Below are 20,540 nucleotides of genomic sequence, written 5' to 3' on the forward strand. Positions count from 1 at the left end.
GAAAGAAAGTGCAATAATCGTGTGCTTAAAGTACATTGGTCATTTCTCTCTTTGCAACTTGCAGAATGGAGAACCATCTAAAACAGTATTAATTATTTCAGCCTTGCTGTAGCCAGTCTTCCTAGATTTATTAAATAGAACTGATTTCCCAGTTAGTTTGGGGTAGTATACATTCTTGAAGTAGTGCTGACCAGCTGCGAACTGGACAGCATTCTGATACAGCGGCTCCAGCATCTCGTATCAGCAATCTCCAGGTGTCTTGATGTTTCTTGAAGTCATGACAAGCCTCTGGACACGGTGTTTTACCAGCAGCATTTTGTACAACTGTTGGTTGTTTTTCCCAGACTGGATGATGTTTATCATGTTAGAGGACTTGACCAGCCCCTTATGGGCTGATTCTTATCAGTTTTCTTCACCATTGCGTTAAAGGCACCTAAGCCTCCATAAAATTGGATTCTAGCAACTGGAACAATACGCTTCCTTAGTTCACTGCATTCATGTTCAAAACTGTTTGCCAGTACACAAAATCAGTGACTGAAACTCAATGGCAGAAGACAGGCCAGAAAGGAGTCTGCCACACACTTTGCAAAACATGCAACCCTAGGGAGCTCAGTAGAACTTTTGCCTGAGAAGTTAAGAGTATGATTGTATTAGGAGATGGTGAAACTCAGAGCTTCTTATTCTGGGCTCCGCAGAATTCAAGGAGTCCGTGAACTTGATGAGGAAAAAAATTACAACACAAACCTCTAACTAAAATCTATCATTTCTTTCCATTACATTGCAGACAACAGAGCCTAACAGTATTAGCAGCCCATGGAGAACTTTATCACAGAAACAAATATTTCATATATAATTGTAGATTTCTACAGATAACTTGAAATGGCATAATCTTCAGTACTTTGAAATTACAGTAGTTGTTAGACCCATCATTAGAGATGTTGTTGATTAATAATAAAGAAGCACATATTACTATGTTACAGCTTTAAAAAATTATAGTGGGTGTTCTTTACAATCTTGTGTGTTTTATGCATTTAAACATATGATTCTGGGAGATTCTCATACTTCACTGCCCTGTCCCTGAGCTGTGTAACACAGAAGAAGCTAAGAACACCTGGCTGAGGATAGGCTGTGGTAACAAATGAATCCTTATTATTTCAGTGATTCTACACATCTTTCTGGTTTAATATGTCTTCTAAGGATTGATGTGGCCTTCTTCTATCTTGAGATGTTACCATCTCAAACTGTGACGTTAAGATTTGCCTCAAGAGGGCAAGAGAGGCATGGAGAGCTCACCCTCATTCATGTAGGCTTTGGCTGGGTAATGACACAGGTTACTTCTGATCAGCCCATTGGCCATGACTGGTCACATGACTCCACCTACCTGCAAGGGAGCTGGAGTCTATGGGAGAGCACTTGAGAATTCCAGTAGGCAGCATACACATACCTGTTTCACAATGGTATGTTTTTCATTTGCCAGTAGTGTTTGGCCTTGTGTCTTCAACATATGTGCCTGTTGGGAATGAAGTTTTTGGTGTTGCAAAAAAAGAATGCCTTTTTATAATCTTCGAAGAACTTTCCCATTTCTCACATGCCTAATAAATATCTATGTTCTAAATAGTATCCTTGATTGGGCATGCAAACAAAACAAATGAAACCCAGAATAGAACTTTCATAAAATCCAGTATTTAAGTTCATACACAAATTATAAGAATTAACCTACTGCGGCCGGGCTCAGTGGCTCATGTTTGTAATCCCAGCACTTGAAGAAGTCGAGGCGGGAGGATCCCTTAAAGCCAAGAGTTTGAGACCAGTTTGAGCAACACAGCAAGACCCAGACCAGCTTGGGCAACGTAGCAAGACCTTGTCTCTTAAAAAAAAAAAAAAAAAAGAGAGAGAGAGAGAGAGAGAGAGAGAGAGAGTCCGGACGCGGTGGCTCATGCCTGTAATCCCAGCACTTTGAGAGGCCAAAGCGGGTGGATCACCTGAGCTCAGGAGTTCGAGACCTGCTTGGCCAACATGGTGAAACCCCGTCTCTACTAAAAATACAAAAAATTAGCTGGGCGTGGTGGCAAGTGCCTATAATCCCAGGTACTTGGGAGGCTGAGGCAGGAGAATTGCTTGAATCCATGAGGCAGAGGTCGCAGTGAGCCAGGATTGCACCATTGCACTCCAGCTGGGTGACAGAGTGAGATTCTGTCTCAAAAAAAAAAAAAAGGAGAGACAGAGAGAAAATTAACCTATTTTAACCTATTGCTATGCAGATAGTAACAGTTTATTATAATTATTATATAATTAAGCTACTTCTTGCAAATGTGAAGATTCTCTATTCCCTCCTCCTGCATTTTAATACAGAAGAAATTAAGAGGAAAGTGCAATGAACTTACTACCATTATATTTTCTAGGAAATAAGTGAAAAGAAAAATAGTTATAGCCAGAATAATAAAGTGGTTTTGATACACTGACTATTTCTTGCCTCTCTTGGAGTTCACAACCTCTCCCTCTACCAGCTCTATCTTTATTTTATGTATCATTTCTCTCGGGATAAAACCAACTTCACTCATCATGACCAGAGGCCTTCCAGTCAGATTGGCAGCTGTATTCTTGGATTTATTTTAGTCTAGGTTCCCCTCTTTGAACTGATTTATGCCTTTTTGTGTTGATGCCTTCAGCAGTTAATTTCATAGTTTAACTACTTTTTCTATAAGAAAATACTATCTGAACAGTTTCTAGAAATTACATCTTCTTCTGGCAAAAACTGCTTCTGGTGAAATTACTTCTACTTCTGGTGTTTTTGTGCACAAAAATACCCAACCATAGTAAGTGTAATACAAACACCTTGAAATACTACCTATCAGTACCTTTCTCTCTGCAAGGTGTAGAAGGATGGCTATTCCACTTTCTTCCAAGGCTGATGAAAAAGAAATGGAAGTGACTTCCACTTGAAAATCATCAGCTCCATCTCACTTTGAATAAAACACAGTTGATCTTTTAGGGGCTTACGTGTAGATTTGAGCCTGGCCTAGATGCCTCTTTGCTGGCACCTATTAAATAAACAGAGTAATTAAATGATAGGTAAAAGGTCTAGAACTCAGGTGTCATTACTGAAAAGTGTTCTCTTTTTCCCCTTCACTTTCTTCTCCATAGAAATTCCCCAACAGCAAGTTGGATATGATAGAAGACTTAGCTTTACTTTACATAATATTTAAGGTTAATTGTTTTTGGATGTTTTCCCAGTTGTTGTTGTTTTTAAAGGCTAAGGAAAAGAAGCAACAGAGATTTTTCCTTGTTTTGAATAGAGAAGACATATAACAACTTAAACAGGACAGAAAACATTGCAAGTAGATGCCTTTCCCACAATGGAGCTGTGAACTTATCCTGTAATGTACACTTCATAGCTGTCTTATTTGAGCAAATCCTCCTGAGCCCTAAAATTGATTTGTTGTATTGCTTCCACATTTTTTGCCAACAGTTATTTAGACAGAGCTGAACATATTAAACACTGGTTGAGTTCCCCATTGTCCTGTCTGGCACTCTGTTTCCATCCATAATGTACACTGGTGTACATTAGATCACTGAGGGGCTCATTATTACTGAATTCCAGCCACGACTTCATTCCTAAAAAACACATGTGCCTGCTTGGTATTGCTTGTAAGCTTTAAGCTCTACTTTTCCCTCTCTCTGTGTGTGTATGTGTATGTGCATGCATCTATGTGTGTGTGTGTGCATGTGTGTTGTTTTCAGATAATAGGTACAGCATAAAATCTTTTTAGATTATAATTTTTGTTTCTATTGCACATTCTCTTATGGTGGGGGAATTTCAGGTTAAAAAGGAAAATACCAACTCTGTCTAATTAATGTCAAAATTTAGGTGAAGTAGGTGAGGAGAGGTTGAAAATTTGTGGTAAGTAGAAGAGTATGAATAAAGTTAACTGCAATTAAAACCACTTAACCTGTAGTTACATTTCCCAAACCCAAGTGGCAGCCTTAAAACTGACCACTGAATTATGGAAACTGAACGGAAAAAGGCTTTGTTTCATTGCATCGAAGTATTTTTCTTTTCCCATTTTGGGTGCATTGATCTCCCTGTATTCCCTGGGGTTGCTGGAAAAACTTGGTCAAAAAGGATAATTACTTTTTTTATTTAGTTGCATGCTCTTCAAAAGGCAACAGCAAGTATTCATTAATTTCCATCTGATAGAGCCGAACTTTTTTTTGTGGTTAAACAATTGAAACAGGAAATGACCCAAGATACAGTTTCCATGACACCCTGTCACTTGGATCCAGTTTTCCAGAAGATGAAAGACCAAAGCCGGCTTTTGATAGTGAGTAACTAATTGGACTGGCTGATAGTGGGAGTTTTTTAATGTGAAAAATAAAGGAGAAAAAACTGGAACAGCTGTGTTTTGGTACAGTTGTCTAATCCCCAGATAAAACACTCCAAGGACATTGAAATTGAATAATGCCTTTAGTTAAGGGGAAAAATCTAAAATCTGTCAAAGCACTGGTTTACTTTAGAGAAAATACAGAATATATTTACATGGAAAACCCAAAACAAAACAAAACAAAACTCCAAAAATTTACAGAGCCAAGATACTAAGTCATGCCTTTTAGGAATCATCTTTGTTCATACAAAGTATGATTTCATATTTTTAAGATGAATTCTTACATGTGAATAAAGAGAGTACTTGCTAGACTACTTTTTCGGTCAACATTTTCAAATGCTGTGTAGCATGGTGGGTAGACCTGAAGAGTTTTGTTAGAAGGATGAAAAAGTTTTGTTTAACTCATGTTAAACAATTTGAGGCATACAGTTAGAAGTGTTTTTACTGATGATCCCCCCCATACATACATAAATGTAGGTTCCAATTGTTTATATTTTGTAGAGCTTCTTTAGAGAATTAAATGTGAATAAGCCAGGGATTTGTTAGACTAATGGGTAAAACTTCCTGTATACTAATGGGGAGATCATTGTTTTGGGCTCTAATTCTAGGCCTTGCTAGCCATCAGCATAGTGACCTGTGACGCTGTTTCCCTTCCTTTTGTAAATGAAGAGGTTGGGGATAGTCCTTATATAATAGCTCTTGTCATTCTGCCTACTTTGGAAATGTAGGACAAGCACTGACCTCTTCTAATATAAAGGTAATCCTGGTGGACACAATGGAGATGCACATGAAAAGGTGAAAATATTTTTATTTTTTTGAGACAGGGTCTCACTCTGTCACCAAGGCTGGAGTGCAGTGGTGCAATTATGGCTCACTGTAACCCCCACCTCCTGGGCTCTAGCGATCCTCCCACCTCAGGCTCCCAAGTAGCTAGGACTACTGGCGTGTGCTACCATGCCTGGCTAATTTTTGTATTTTTTGCAGACATGGGGTTTTGCCATGTTGCCCAAGATGATCTCAAACTCCTAAGCTCAAACCATCCCACCTGCCTTGTCTTCCCAAAGTGCTGGGATTACAGGCATGAGCCACTGCACCCAGCTGCTGAAAATGTCTTAAAAGGAGAAGACACCTATTTTACTTAAATGTGACACAACATTTAATCACTGGAACTTAATGGTATGCATTAGAACTGTTTCTTGAGGAACACAGTCTCTGACTTAATGAATTTTCTAGCAAGTCTCAACCTTTCTCTTTTGGGTGTACCAGAATTCTCTCGTCAGTTTTCCATTAGTTGGATTTACCTGTTGGGTTTAATTCTTTCATTTTGTATATAGGTACCTCTGCTTGGTTTCATTTTGCTTTCCTAAGCAAGGGAGTAGAAACAGATGTTAAGACTGAAATTCTACTATATTTAGGAAGAATAAATAAATATATCTTCCACTATGGTATAATGGAAAGATATACTGACCTGGGCATACTCATGGGCAACGTACCTGTTGTAAATCCCCTCCTTTGCAAATTGTACCTACTTTGAGGTGGACTGCAAGTTCTATGAGGCCTGGGACCTCCCTGCAACCCTTTTACAAAGCCGGCAGTGTAGTGCTATCTATGCCTATCTGATTGAGACACTGATCAGATGTTTGAATGGATTGTGAAGACGGTGCGAGGATGTACACCAGGAGCACACAGTGGCTGTTCAAGAAATGGTGATAGTTTTTGTTTATATTTTCATTTCCATGAATTGATATTTTGATATTGATAACAGCAGTCTTTGAGACCAAGACTTCCAAACTTTTTTCTGGAAATAATTTTTTTCTTCCTCACCCAGAAGAACATTTATTTTCTGGATGTAGTTCAGATTTCTTCTAAACTTTATCTCACTTGGTGTGAAACTAGAGGTATAGAGGTAACTTTTTATTATACCACCACCCAATTTTAAGCTCCGGATGACCGTGCAGGAACTGCTTTTGTTTTCCCAAGGCCACCATCCCCAGTGCAGATGGAAAGGAACAAGATACAGGAGGGCAGTCAAGAGCCTCTGGGGAGCCCCTGTACTGGTACCTGCTCAGCCCCGGGAGCCACAGGCATTACTGTCAGGGTGGCTGTCTCCTTATTGCTCGTCTTGCAACTGTCACTATGCTGCGAGGTCTGGAGGGGAGGGGAGGGGAGGGGACATTCCTCCTGCTGCACCCTTGGAGGCTGCGGGCTTTCCTGGGCCTCGGAGAGCGGCTCAGCGAAGGCCCTCAGCTCAGGAGCCTGATTAGGTGCATAAAATCGCTGTAGCCAGAAGGGACCTCCCCGCCCCCGGGCCGCGCCCCGCCCCGCCCCCTCCTCTGGGGCACACCCCGCCCCGCCGCCCCTCCCCCTCCCTGGGCACACCCTATGCCGCCGTTCCTCCCCCTCCCTGGGCGAACCCCAACACCTCCACCTCTTCCCCCTCCCTGGGCGCACCCCATCCACGCCCGACCATCCCCCTGGACCCCGCCGCCCCTCCCCCTCTTGGCTGCGCCCCGCCCCGCCTTCCGGGCGCCCTCCTTCCCCGGTCTGCCTTCTCCCTGACCCTCCTCCCGGTCGCCAGGACCCCGCGGCCCGCGAGGCAGCTCTTTGTTCCCCGGCCTCGCCCCGCCCCGCCCCGCCCCGCCCCGCCGGGTCCCCCGCTTCGTCCCCGGCCGCCCGCTTGTCTCTCCCCTCGCTGTTCTGCCCCTTTGTCTTCCACGCCTGCCCCTTCAACTCCTCTTGCCCTGCAAACCCCGGGTCGCCACCTCCACATCCCTTCCACTTCTACCTGCCTGCCTTGGCCTGCATTTTATTTTCAACCAAGGTTGAAATGGTAGCCCCACGCAAAATCCGATGGTGTGTGGAGGAACTGCCCAGTCATTGCAGTCTGCACGCCTTCTTAAGTGCCAGGTGCGAGCAAGGCCGACCAGGAACTGCCGATGGGCTTCACCTGTCAGACTGGACTGCCACCTGCCACACATTCATTGAACTTTTAATAAGCACTGCCGCTGTGCTTGGCGTTTTGCTGGGCTCCAGAAATAAAAAATTCAGAGAGGCCAAAGTTCTTCAGGGATGCAGACAGGTGATAGAACCATCATTTATTGAGCACTTGCTAAGTGCTAAATACTCTTACCTGCGTTATCTTGTGTAATCCTCACAACCACACTCAACGACGGCCTATTGAATGCTCTCTAGGTGTCTGGCAGTGTTCCAAACAGTTTATGTGTATTACTTTGTTTGATCTTCCCAACCACCAATGAGGTAAGTACTGTTATTTTAATGCAGAGGAGGATTATGGAGGGACAGAGATTAAATGACTCAGAGCCACATGCTCATGACAGCAGAGCCAGGAGTCAAAACCAGGCAGGTTGTAGTGGGTATACTGAGAGAAAATACGTGTTTTTTTTCCTAGCTGGAATTAAGTGGATGTGTCAAGAAAGATTCAGAGGACGTGATTCTTATGCTAAGTATCTGGTGTATCTTGTGTCACGGTTTTGTTCTTGCCCGTTACTTACTGTGTTTAGAGAAGATGTTCAAAGAGTACCTAGAAAATTGTTTTAAATACAGTTAAAGCTGTTCGGTATTTTCACTTGCGTTTTTCTGTGTAATACATCAAATTGCCTGTTCTTCGTTCAAGTAGCTCCCCCATTAGAGCATGTTTTTTGGAACAGTTAGGAACCTATAGTTGTAAAGTGATTGAAAACCTTTGGTAGATAGGAGCTGAATTTGCTTTTCAGTTGTTTTTGTGACTGTTGTTAGGTAGGGATTTCAACTTATCTGTAAAACGAGATTAATGATAAACTCTACCATCTCTTGTGAGATGTGAATATTTTGAGGTCCCAAGGAAAAAGGCCTTGGAAGTTCATGACTCGTAAATTAGTATGTGTTTCACACATCATGCTTTGAAGGTTGTTCTTGATGTGTTAGGATAGGACCAGGAGACTGACTTTAGGATCACAGCTACCTCCCCGGAACCTCTCCTCATTTCTCCCAGCTAGAAAGGGTTCCTTTTACCCTACTTTCGTGCCTCTGTTGTACTCCTTACTGGAGTCTTGCCTTATAGTTGGTTGTATCCAATCTGCCTGCCCCACTATGTTATACATTCCTTGGGGCCAGGGACTGCCCTACCCATCTTTGCTTTGTCCTTGAGTTGGAGGCCACAGTTGAGACCACAGCATATGCCAATTGAGTTGAACTAGTGGGCTGCCTGGTTAATGTTGAGATGAAAGGTGATGTTTTTTACTTGTGTTGATGTTGTTGTTATTTTACTTTCTGGGGTGTAAAAAGAACATCTTGCATAGGTAGAGGTGGAGCATGGGCTCTAAAGCCTCCAGGGAAGAAGCAGGGGCAGGAAAATGGGAGAACTGGAGTAGGAATCCGCAGACAGCCCAGGAGATAGAGAATGTGGAAACTCAGGTTGTATTAGGAACACGAGCCAGGAAGAAGTAAGAATAAGTTTTCAGGAGCTGAGAGTGAGAATGGAAATTCAGCTCAGACAGAAAATAGCTTCTTTTTGATTTGTCAAAAATGTTATATTTAGTGGAAAAAATACACCTTTAGGAGTCAGAAGACTTGAGTTCAAACCACCAGTATGTTGCCTGGGCAAATCATTTAAAGTTGGGGCCTCCATGTCCTCATCTTTAAATCTTAAAGTAGAAAAATGAATGTGTCTCATCTCCTTCTGTATTAGTCCATTCTCACACTGCTGTAAAGAAATATCTGAGACTGGGGAATTTATAAAGAAAAGTGGTTTAATTGGCTCAGGGTTTCATAGGCTGTACAGAAAACGTGGCTGAGGAGGCCTCAGGAAACTTAAAACCGTGGTGGAAGGTGAGGGGGCAAAGCAGGCAAATCTTCACATGGCCAGAGCAGGAGGACAAGAGAGAGAAGGGGGAGGTGCTACACACTTTGAAACAACCAGATTTTGTGAGAACTCAGTCATTATCATGAGAAGAGCAAGGGGGAAATCCACCCACATGATCCAATCACTTCCCACCAGGCCCCTCCGTCTTCCAACATTGGGGTTTACAGTTCTGCATGAGATTTGGGCAGGGACACAAATCCAAACCATATCACCTTCTTGATGTGTTTTTATAGGAATTACATGAGAATGCCTGGAGAGGTATTCTTGTATTAAGTGTAACGCACTACACAAATGCTGGTGTGAAGGTGGGTGAGAGCTTCTGGTGGAAGAAATAGCACTGGATTTAGCAGGGGCTATGAGAGCATATGATCTTTTTTGTGTGTGTGACCTTGGATTAGCAAATTTATCTGTCTAAACCTCAATTTCCGCATGCGTAAAATGGGGATAATCATGCCTACCTTAAATGAAATGGACCTGCCAGGCAAAGCACATATGAGTTGGGTCTGTCCTGGAAAACTTGTTTCAGTGATTGACATTAAACACCTGCTGCCCTTATTTAGATATATTCCTCTCAAGTCCCTAAGTTGTTCTCTCACTAAGCCTGAGAGTGAGAGGGCTAAGTAAGATAGAGACGTAGTGCATTTAGAGAACCATACTCAGTCTTCTGTTAAGACACTACCAGGTCTGACACTGGCTTACTGCCGCAGGCTGTTTATTACTCTTAAGCCCAAGACAACTTCTGCAGTCTGGATAAGTTGCCTCCCTAGTTCATCTTTTTATCCTTGAAAAAGGCCCAGGGCTCCCAGGCATTTTCTTTTCTTTGGTGTCTCCTGCCATTCCCCACCCCCAGGGTTCTTCTCTTTCTATGATTGGCTGCTACTCCCCTCATCTTTGCTGCCCAGATGGCAAGCACAAAGGAAAAAGGTCTTTTTTTCCTTTTAAGGCTTTTATTGCTAATTATAAGAGAAAAAGCAATAGGGCCACAGGACTGAAAATTTAATGAAGTTCATACTCTCTTTTTTTCTCTGTTAGCTTGTTCCTAACTATGAGTATGGATGAAAAATGCTCTCTGCTTTTATTTGTGAGGGTTGGGGCTGCTCATCTCTTTGAACTGTCATTAGCAAAAGGCTCTATAACTCCCTCTACCTTGGCATCTTTCATGCCTGTGTTACCCGCCCCTTGTAGCAAGTGTGGAGTTTTCATTTTTTAGAGATCTCCAGACTTGTTAATAACAAGTTCACTGGGCCTCAGCTCTGCCCAGGAGGGACTAATTGCAAAGTAAATCCCAGGCCATAATAAGGAATTGATGAAAGAGCACCATCTTTAATCCTTTCTTTGGCTTCAGCCACTTGTTATTAAAAAGGTGTATTTGAATCAACTAAAGATGAACAGCTTTAGTTCATTTGTCTTTCTTGGCTTAAAAAAATGGTAGGAAGGAAAAGGATCTCAGGGTAAAACACTCAAGTTATTCAGTAATTTTATAAGTCTTTATTTTTCTTTGACCATGAAATCAGCCCTAGGGTGCTTTTTAAAGTAGGGAAGTTTTGTTAAATCTCCAAGGATAGAAGGAAAACACTACAACATTATATATAAATGCAAAATTAAGACTGTGAAGTAGATTTTATGATATTTTTTCAAAACCTAATCTAGATACCTATTTTAATATTGTGACATTTGCATCCCTTCTCAGTTTATTAACAATAGGAGAGATTTATTTAAGACATAGCAGAGACAATGATTCTCAAACGAATACTCCTAGATGTATTTTGTCTTGCACGATTACTGTTAAGATTTTTCAGTTTAGGATTTGGAAGAAATAATACCTTTCAGAAAAACATATTTTTTAAATGCTGAAAAACTGGCAACCCAGATAGAACATGCCCCACATACATACATTTCACATTTATGATAGAATAGTGAAGAGATATTACAACATTCATATAAAACCTACATTTAGGATGACTTAGAGTGCTAGTTAAAACTGCTTTTTAAGGAAAATTTTAATGGGAGTCAAGAGCCAGGAGCCTCAGGTGAATTCTCAGTGCTGGTACGTGACCAGCTGCGTGAACCTGAGCAAATCAGTATCTTCTCTTGTCACAAAAAAGGGATGCGGAGGTAAAGTAGAGTTGCTCCAACAGCATTAAGATGAAGATTCAGTGAAGTTTTGGACATTTATTGCTGTTTCAGCTGACTTGCATCTTTGCACCCTTTCAGCTCTAGGAGCCAATGGGAGCTACAGGGGAAGGCAAGTGATCCTCTCTCCTGCCGTGGCAGCTGGGGCAGTATGTGTGTTACATACACTAGGCCATTAAGGACTGTTACCTGGGACTTTGAGCATTAGGCAGCAATAGAAATGGGACAGTCAATAATTTTAAGGTTATGGAGAAAAAAAGAGGGTCCAGTGACGACGGAACAGCCAGGTATTCACAGTCGCCTTTCAGCAAGGTTGTTTAGGTAGCTTAATCTCCTGGGCAATGTTCTCAACTACCTAACCACTAAGTTTCTGCCTCTTGTTGTGTTTCTAGTGTCTTTCTAATAACTCTTTCTTTTTTCTGATTAAGTTCATTTCTGTCTTTTATTTTGTTGTTCTGGTGGTCATTATTCAGTTTTGCACAATTTTTAAATTGCCAAAACCAGAAATTGCCAGAGAGATTGGGTCACTGGGACAAAGATTCAGATACATGCAGACAATGCCAAGTGCTCCTGTAAATCTCTTGCAAGATTGTGGTATGATTTAAATAAGATGTTGCATATTGGAGTGCTGTGGGTCCTTGAAAGTTCAATGCATGTATAATTGTTATTCCTGGAGGTTGTAATGAGGGGAATATCTATGGGATTAATATGGCTGTGGGTACATTGGAATTTAGAGTGTCAAAGGCCACTGGATTTGGTAATGGTTCTGGTCCTTGTAGTGGAGAATCCATTTTCCTTTTGCTGATATCTATGTGGCAGGTAAAACGCCTTTTAGATCATAGATATTTTGGACTGTGCTTATTTTTAGTGTACCTAAGATCTCTACAGGTATAGGACATTAAAGCAGATGGAGTACGGTATGTAGTAGGTTTGCAAATGAAGGAGACTAATCGTACTTCTGCTGTAGAGCAGGCACTGTACTTTAATCTGTTTTTTTCCTTATTTGATGTTACTTCCTCTTATTTTATAGATGAGGAAATCCTCACGAGAGGAAGTCTTAGTACCTTGTCAAGTATCAATTAACTGTTATAAGGGTGATTGAACATTCACATCCAGGGCTTTTATATTTCAAATCCCTGGTTCTTTCCATTATAGCATGCTAGGATCATGAGAAAATAAAGAAGTGGAAGAAAGACCAGAGAAAGGAGTAGGAATTGCCTAGGAAAATAAACAACCATCAGGTTCCAGAGAGAGGTTATTAGAAATCTAGAGTTCAGACAAAGAATCATAAAATTGCAAGATTAGAATGGACCTTAGAGAAGTAGAGCTCACCACCCTCTCCAGCTCATCTCTCTCTCCAACATCTCCAAGTGGTCACCCAGCCGCTTCCCGCTACAATGATGGGGAGTGTCTTACTGCAGAAGACAATCTGTTCCATCTGTATTTAGCTCTGGCCACGAGGAAATTATTCCCTATGAACCCCAGGATTTCCTTTGGCTCCAAGTTTACAAAGCAATAATTAGCACTTTGAGTTGGGAAAGCTAGACAGCAAAGTGGTTATGAACCCCAGCTCTAGAATACAATTGCCTTCCTTTGAACTACAGTTGCCTTCCTTTGAACTTGAAATGGGCTTTCTCAGCTTATCAGCTGTGTCCTTTTCTCATCTGAACATGGTGGCCATCTCACAGTGTTGATTTGAGAGTCAGATGAGATAAAGCATTTGGCATAGTCACTGGCATGTATAGTAAGACTTTTTAATAAGGTTTTATATATAAAGTTACTGATTGTTATTATTTTCCATAACTCTATGAGGTAGAAATTATTATTCACACTTTCTAGATCTTAGAAACTGAGGCACCTGCCTGATGGTCACAGAAAAAGCAAGCAGGGCTGGGCATGGTGGCTCAAGCCCGTAATCCCAGCACTTTGGAAGGCCAAGGCGGGTGGATCACCTGAGGTCAGGAGTTTGATACTAGCCTAGCCAACATGGTGAAACCCTGTCTCTACAAAAAATAGAAAAATTAGCTGGTCATGGTGGTGCACACCTGTAATTCCAGCTACTTGGGAGGCTGAGTCACAAGAATGGCTTGAACCCAGGAGGCAGAGGTTGCAGTGAGCTGAGATTGCACCACTGCACTCCAGCCTCGGTGACACAGTGAGACTGTGTCTCAAAAAAAAAAAAAAAAAAAAAAAAAAGCAGAAGCCCTCTGGAGTTCAAGGGCAAATGATTCAACTTCTGCTCTTCCCCTTTTAACACTTCCTGCTGTTCCTCCTTTACTTTGAATGGAGAGAGGCTACTGCAGGCCAACTGGAGTAACTAAGACAAAATAACAGTCTGCAGGTGTGGCTAGGGACAGACACACACACCCCTGCCAATTTCGGGCTAAATTCAACATTTCCACTCTTCAAGTTGCTGTACCTTCCTCTTTTCTTTCTCCTAAAGAGGAATTTTCATTTGAAACTGTTATTTCAGTCATTTGTATTCTCTGCTCATCAGCACATGGATTAGTTGTAACTTCATGTAGTTGTTTTGAATAGCTGATACAAAAAATCTTTTGGCGGGGTAGAACTTGGTTTTTCAGTATATGCATGTAAGTTTGATATGTGGTTAAGTTTTTTCTGCCACCATTTAAGTGACTTCTGGACTCTTTCATTATCAGGTAAGATATACTTTATATTAGTGGATGTTAATCTCTGACCTCTGGATATTTTCACACAAGTTCATGCCAAACAGAGGCACAAATTTCCATCCTTGTTCTGTTTTTCCATTCTCCATTTCTATTGTCACATTCTGACAGCCTGCCACCAGAGTCCAAATCTTTATTCTGTTGCAAGCTGGGTTACCTTGAGTAAACCACATTAATTTCTAGCCCAAGATTATCCATCTGCAAATTTACAGCAATATTTCTGTGTTCATCTGGGTCATTCTAAGTCAGGTTTTCCCAACCTTAACACAAATGACATGTGACGATGGCAGGGGAGGGGGCTGTCCTGTGCATTTTAGGATGTTTAACAACCTCTCTGGCCTCTACCCATTAGACACCAGCAGTAACTTCCTCCAAGCTGTGACAATCAAAAATGTCAAGTGTCCCCTGGGGGGCTAAATCTTCCCCAATTGAGAAATACTGTTCTAAGGTGAAACACTGTTTTATGTTGAAAGGCTGCTGTAAGCCATAGAGCTATAAGATAACTACTAGATATTTTATTAAATATCTGCTTTATGTAAAGCACTGTGCGAATGCCATGGAGAAAAGGAGGAAGTAATCATGTATAAGGGCATCCTTGCTTCCCAGCAGCTATGGTGGGTGGAAGTGATACAGGTAGAATTTGATAAATCTGTAAGATTCAGGAGATATTTCAAACACAAGGCATTTGACATTTGAGTTGCATCTTGCCAGGAATGGTAGCCATGAAAAGGACTCAAAGGAAAGAGTGCTTACTTTCTAGTTTTTTAATGGGCTGGCAGTCAGAAAATGGAAATGAGTAAAGTAGGCCTTGAATGCCTGTGACACAGCTGGAGATGGTAGGAGCCACCTAAAAGAAACAGTTGCTGTTCAATGGAAGCCACTTGTTGGCAGCAGGAATGTTAGTCTGGGGATGCCAGATCTGCTAGTTTTTCTAAAGATGTTGGAAATCCAGATTTTTATAAGATGTAAAATTTCCTGAATTTTAAACATTAGCTCAATTTAAAACAACAACATGTGTGAGTCAAACAAAACACCTATGCAGGTTAAATTAGGTTGCCAGTTTGCGGTTTCTGTTCCAGATAATCTTTTTAGGAGGGACACTTCTCTCATCCTGTCTCTTAAAAAACAATTGGAGGAAAAGTTAAATTGGTATGTTCCTTCATACTTTATACAATTCATTTCCATCCGTGTTTTACTTTCTCTGTTTGAACCTTAGCTATCAAGATAAAGTTTAGATCTGAAGTGTTGCTCTAAGTAAAATAACGTTTTGGAAACTGTGAACATCCCCCAGTTAAGAATTCTCCAGGGTCTTCAGCTAAAAGTGAAACCTGGAATGATTGCCAGTGAATGCTTTTTGTGGCCTTGGAAATTCAGAGTGATTTATCACTTGTTGGTAATAACTGGAGGCCTCTATATACAAGAAGGGAGTTAAAGAGGCCAAAAATAACAAGTCTAACCATATGGCTCTTTTCAAGAGGTGTCCATATGGCTATCTAGTTAAAAAGGACTCTTGCCAGCTTGACTGTGAGTTTTCTTTTTTGTAGCTCGATATAAAAGTCTTCTAGCTTTAACATTGTAACAAAGGAATTCCTAGGTTTCACTTCTAGGTTTTGAAAAACTGAACTGGGCAGTGGGGGAGGAATGCAGTTGTAGGCAGCTGAGCTAGATGCATAGTTGACCATAGGATCATTGGTATTTACCACAGCAGCAAAGCTATGTGATAACTCCTATTTATATTCTTTTTAGTCTCCAGCAGTAGTTTAGCTTTTTATGATGGTGTCAAAGTTCCAAGTCTGACAGTCTAACTCAGTGTGCCTTCTTGTTCTCAAGAATGGAACATGCAGTACTTTGTCAAATGCCTTGGTGAAAATAAGATATGTATTAATTCTTATAATTTCTACCTGTATATTAAATTAAGTGGCATAATTTGGCCTGATTTGTTCTTACAGAATCCAAATTTGTTTTTAGTAATTACAATTAAATAACCTATTCTATAATATGCTGAGAAAGAAGCAAAGTTGACTGGTTCCTAGGTTCCGGAGCTCATATTTGCCCCCTTGGTCATAATGGAGACATCTTGACTATGTGTAATCTCTAAATCTCTTCATTGGTATGCTGCCATCCATGTGATTTTGGTCATACTGCATACAGTATTGGATTATTTAGGAGGAAAATACAGAGAAATAAATGTATATGCTTATGGCATAGAAAAGTGAAAATTTTGGATCTAGATTAATCCAAATGGTATTAATTCTTAGATTTTCCTTCCAGCAAATCCCGAATCCCCATTAATACTAACTATTTAACAATTTCTACTAATTTTAATTGAACCAGATACTTACAAAAAATAATTGCTTTGGAGTGTCCTTTGGAAAACACAATTGGGGAGCTATGGAAGTTATGTTCAGGTTATGACAAAAACAGACAAGAAATAATACAAACCCTACTACTTTGTGCAAGAGACTGAATTTAAATTACCCTAAGAGCCTCCTCAACTCAGATGTTTCCAGTATGATTGGTGTGACATTTGTTCAGGTTCTTTAGAATATAAGCATATGCAATTAATAATGAAAATGAATTCCTATCCTTGCAAATTCAAAGTATCTCAAAGCATTTTTTCCCTTCTTAAATCATTTTGACTATTAGTATTTGTGTTGATATGGCTTCCTCACATGAGAAATGCTATTATGCAACAGCTGTAGTTGTGCTGCCTGAATGCATGCCAGTTCTGTTCAGATTGAGCCACAGGGACTGCTTGTTAGCTCCCTAGCTGCCTGGGAGAGAGGGTAATGTAAAATTAATGTATGAAGAAAGGCCTGTTATCTGACACTATTTGGGGATGCAGGTGGTCTGAAGTGGTGTGCAGAAATTAAACTAACATGCTAATCTTTCTACGATTATAGAAAGGTGGCTGGGATTCATGGTTTCAACTCTTGGTATTAATTTTAAAAATTGGGAAGGGCATTGACTTGACTCCTTCTTTTGCCTAGCTCTACTTCCTAAACTTGAAGCATGTATAAAACTTGAGATTATCAGATACTTTCATTTTTTGGAATTCAGGGCATGTTTCATAGTTTGGAAAGGAAGTGGTAGAAGAGATTGTTAATAGGATTTTCATATATAGGTTGCAAATATCTGAAAAAAATATTTGTATATTCAAGTAGTCTTTTTCTTGATAAGTAGCACATAAACTAGACCAACATGCAACATTTTCAAATTAGTTTTAAGTTAAGGACAAAGTAACATGGGTTCTTCTTCAGCAATGCAGTCCTAATTCTAAATATACCTGTCCGTTTAACATTTTCTTTTTTCTCCTGGTGATTCTGCAATCAATTATCGCTATCTCTCCATTCTCATTTTAGCCAAAGCAAGCAATTTCAGCATTTAATGTTAGCATTGCATCCTATGATGTTCAGTACATAACTTGCAGTAGCATTTCTCATGTGGTTCTAGAACAGCTGTTTTGCTGATCTGCCTCATCTCTAGACTTGGAACCTGTCGTACTGCCTAACAGACCAGCTTACGGTGTTCATAAACAAAACACCCGGCATAATGCCTGGCACACGCTAGGTACTTAGTAAATGTTTACTCATTTATGAGATTCTGTCAGTGAGGCTGTCACGTTGGAAAAAAGGAATGACCAAATGATGAGCCAGACTCGATTATGCATTTTCATGAATATTATCTCATTTAATCCTTAAAACAGTCTTGCACGATAGGCATCATTATCTCTTGGTTTAGCTTATTACTCACACATTGACCTCAGAGCTGGTTAGGGGGAAGAGTCTGAATCTGAACCCAGGTTTTTATCTTCTTATTATTGTTCTTTCTACTATACCATAAAGCATATTCTATAATATAGAAACATTTCTAGGGAAATTTTTTTCTGGAGACTTGTCTCTGAATTTGCTGGAGCAATTCTTTCTTGTATTTTAAACTGTTCCTCCTAGTAAACAAAATTGCAAAACTTGTCTAGCAGAGCTGGAGTGGGAAATTCAGCATTGCAATTAACTGGAGTCAGACAGACTTGGGTTTTCATTCTGACTTCTCCACTTACTAGCAATGTGATCTTGTGCAAGTCATTTAAGCCTCAGTTTTGTCATGTAAATTGGGGATGCTGTTAGTACCTATTTCATGGGCTTGTGATGACATGAAGCGGGGAAAGCACTTGTTATATGTGTGAGACATAGTAGGTACTGAATGCTAGCTGCTGTTATTGTTAGTGAATAAGTGACATCTCGTTTATTCAACAAATATTATTCATTACATTTGATCCTAGCCAAAAGGCCAAGAAGTGATCTGCAAATATTTTTTCAGTGTATACTATGTGCTTTTAGTTCTACTAATTCATCAGTGATCAAAACAGACAAAAATCCATTTCTGCATGGAGGTTACATTCCAATTGCATTCCATTGGGGAGAGCTAGACAATAGACATCATGAATACTGGGAAATAAATGATATCATATGTTGGAGAATGGCTAGTACTATTCAATAAAAAAGAAATAAAGGAGAATTAAGTGAGTGTGGGACAGGGGAGAGTTGGCAGGGAGCTGTGGGGTTGCAATGAAATAAAGTAGTCACTGGAGGCCTCATTGAGAAAATGATAATTGAGCAAGAACTCAAGGGGAGACAAAGGAGTATGCCATGTGGATTCTCTGGGCAGAGCTTGGCCCAGTGGGATGAAGAGCAAGGAGGCTGATGGGGCAGGAAGACAGTAAGAGCATCACTAGGGCTTTAAAGGCCATTGTAAGGGTAAGGGGAACCTGTGGGGAATCTTGAGCTGAGGAATGACGTGATTGACTTTAGATTAAAATTGTGATCATTATCACCATGAGCTTCTCCTCAGGAGGAGGGACCTGGACAGTGTAGCACCTTTACCCGATTACTCTTCTTTCTCCTATTAGCTTAACCTTTTACACTTGAAAAGTATATTCCACCACCCCAGGGTAGCTGCCCTGCCTACTCTATGTCATTGATTGAACTTGGCAGTCCTGTGGCTGTAATGGTTGTATTCCTTGGGAAACAAAGGAAATGATTAGATCTTAAGAGGGAAAGAAAGTAGAATCCTGTGGTAGCACAGCTTGTGATCCTCTTTGAACATGACTTGATCTCTTCCAGGCTTCCCTTACTGAACCAGGAAACCTTTGTAGAGGATCCTGGGAGGTGTTGGTTTGGTTTAGTGTTTTCTAAATGTTTGTATCTCCTTACGGTGAGAGGGATCCATTATGGAGCAGGGGGAAGAGCTTAAGTGTAGTAATTTGTCAGCTCATGACCTGTGCTTAACTTCTTTCCTCTAAGATAATAGCAGCGGACATACTCTCAGCACACATGGGGATGGAAAACATTTCTGTGCTACTTCTCCAGTGAAAATCAATGACTTTTTTTTTTTTCACTTTAAGTTCCGGGATACATGTGCAGAATGTACAGGTTCATTACATAGGTATACATGTGCCATGGTGGTTTGCTGCACCTATCAACCCATCATCTAGATTTTAAGCCCTGGCTTTCAACATTCAAGATGGTCTTCCATTATCTCATTTATGTCCTATTATTCTCAATCAAGTTAATTGGAAATCTGTTTTTTTAGTGCATGTACAGGAATATGGCAATATCAGGGAATGGTAGAGAAAATGGAAGCAGGTCTAAGATGCAAAATTTAACACAGAATCACATGGATTGGTGGAGTCAGAGGATCAAGGTCCATGCCCAGCTCTGTCAAAGTAGTTGTGTGATTGTGCCATGTCTAAGCTGGAGTTTCTTTGTGCCTCATGGGATAGGAAGAAAGTAAGGTATATAGATGGCTAGTTTTGTGACTCCAAATGATGGGAATCACTTTTCTGGTGAAGTTATTGCTTGAGAAGGGAAAGAGGATGGGACAGTCCTTGTTTAGCCTTTTCTGGATAACATCAGCATGCCTAGTGTGGGTATTTTCCTGCTGCCTTATTCCCTGGGAGTTGGAGCCTTTGTCTTTCTGTCAGGCTATTTACAACCTATTGTGTTCTAGAACCCCATAGATAAGGGCTTAGTGACTCCTTAGCTTGTGCCTTCCAACCTTAGTGGTTCTATCAATATCTTTGTGTCCCTCACAATACCTTGAATTTCCCTTCCTCATTATGTTAATTATTTGAGGTAATTTTAGAGATAGGTACCATTTAACTGAGTGAAAGCTTTACAATTGAGGGGTTACTCATTAGCAGGACCTGGGTTTTGTTTTTAATCTCATTAACCCCTTGTTACCCATTTGATAACAAAGACTTCAAGGAAGAATTTGCTCAAAAATCTCTGGGAGACAGTAATAGCTTCTTGGGCCTGACTGATAAACTTTTTGCCTCCAGCAATGGAAATGTGGGAAAATTCCAGATGCTAAATGATCTGGCTTGGACCCAGCAGGTTGAGGTAGTGGAGCCTTTCGATTGAGGCACAGCCCAGGACTGCTGCAAGGGAGAGGCACAACAGATACCATAAGGAGGTCTGA

The 20,540-nt window shown here is 40.7% G+C and overlaps 1 protein-coding gene across 5 annotated transcripts in view, besides 3 other annotated features; it reads left to right on the forward strand.

The window, feature by feature from the left end:
• Nucleotides 1-20,540, forward strand: part of CACHD1 (cache domain containing 1) — a 222,925-nt gene that overhangs the window by 28,719 nt on the left and 173,666 nt on the right. For 2 of the 5 annotated variants that reach the window (NM_001293274.2, XM_011541862.2), the window contains exon 1: nt 7,054-7,640. The exons of the other annotated variants lie outside the window; for them this stretch is intronic. Coding sequence is in view for 1 of the 2 variants with exons in the window: in XM_011541862.2 (XP_011540164.1) it covers nt 7,636-7,640 (5 nt within the window). In the remaining variant the exon portion in view is untranslated. Of the gene's footprint in view, nt 1-7,053; nt 7,641-20,540 lie in introns of those variants that run through there. 5 annotated transcript variants of the gene reach the window in all.
• Nucleotides 5,913-6,412: an enhancer, noted in NCBI's record as "H3K4me1 hESC enhancer chr1:64970443-64970942 (GRCh37/hg19 assembly coordinates)". NCBI's record gives its function as "activates a minimal SCP1, AML or CMV promoter by ChIP-STARR-seq in primed H9 embryonic stem cells {active_cell/tissue: H9 hESC(primed)}" and the evidence as "EXISTENCE:reporter gene assay evidence [ECO:0000049][PMID:30033119]".
• Nucleotides 17,957-18,772: an enhancer, noted in NCBI's record as "NANOG-H3K4me1 hESC enhancer chr1:64982487-64983302 (GRCh37/hg19 assembly coordinates)". NCBI's record gives its function as "activates a minimal SCP1, AML or CMV promoter by ChIP-STARR-seq in naive and primed H9 embryonic stem cells {active_cell/tissue: H9 hESC(naive and primed)}" and the evidence as "EXISTENCE:reporter gene assay evidence [ECO:0000049][PMID:30033119]".
• Nucleotides 18,773-19,586: an enhancer, noted in NCBI's record as "OCT4-NANOG-H3K4me1 hESC enhancer chr1:64983303-64984116 (GRCh37/hg19 assembly coordinates)". NCBI's record gives its function as "activates a minimal SCP1, AML or CMV promoter by ChIP-STARR-seq in naive H9 embryonic stem cells {active_cell/tissue: H9 hESC(naive)}" and the evidence as "EXISTENCE:reporter gene assay evidence [ECO:0000049][PMID:30033119]".

This window comes from Homo sapiens, chromosome 1 (assembly GCF_000001405.40).
Source record: "Homo sapiens chromosome 1, GRCh38.p14 Primary Assembly".
NCBI classification, from domain to species: domain Eukaryota; kingdom Metazoa; phylum Chordata; class Mammalia; order Primates; family Hominidae; genus Homo; species Homo sapiens.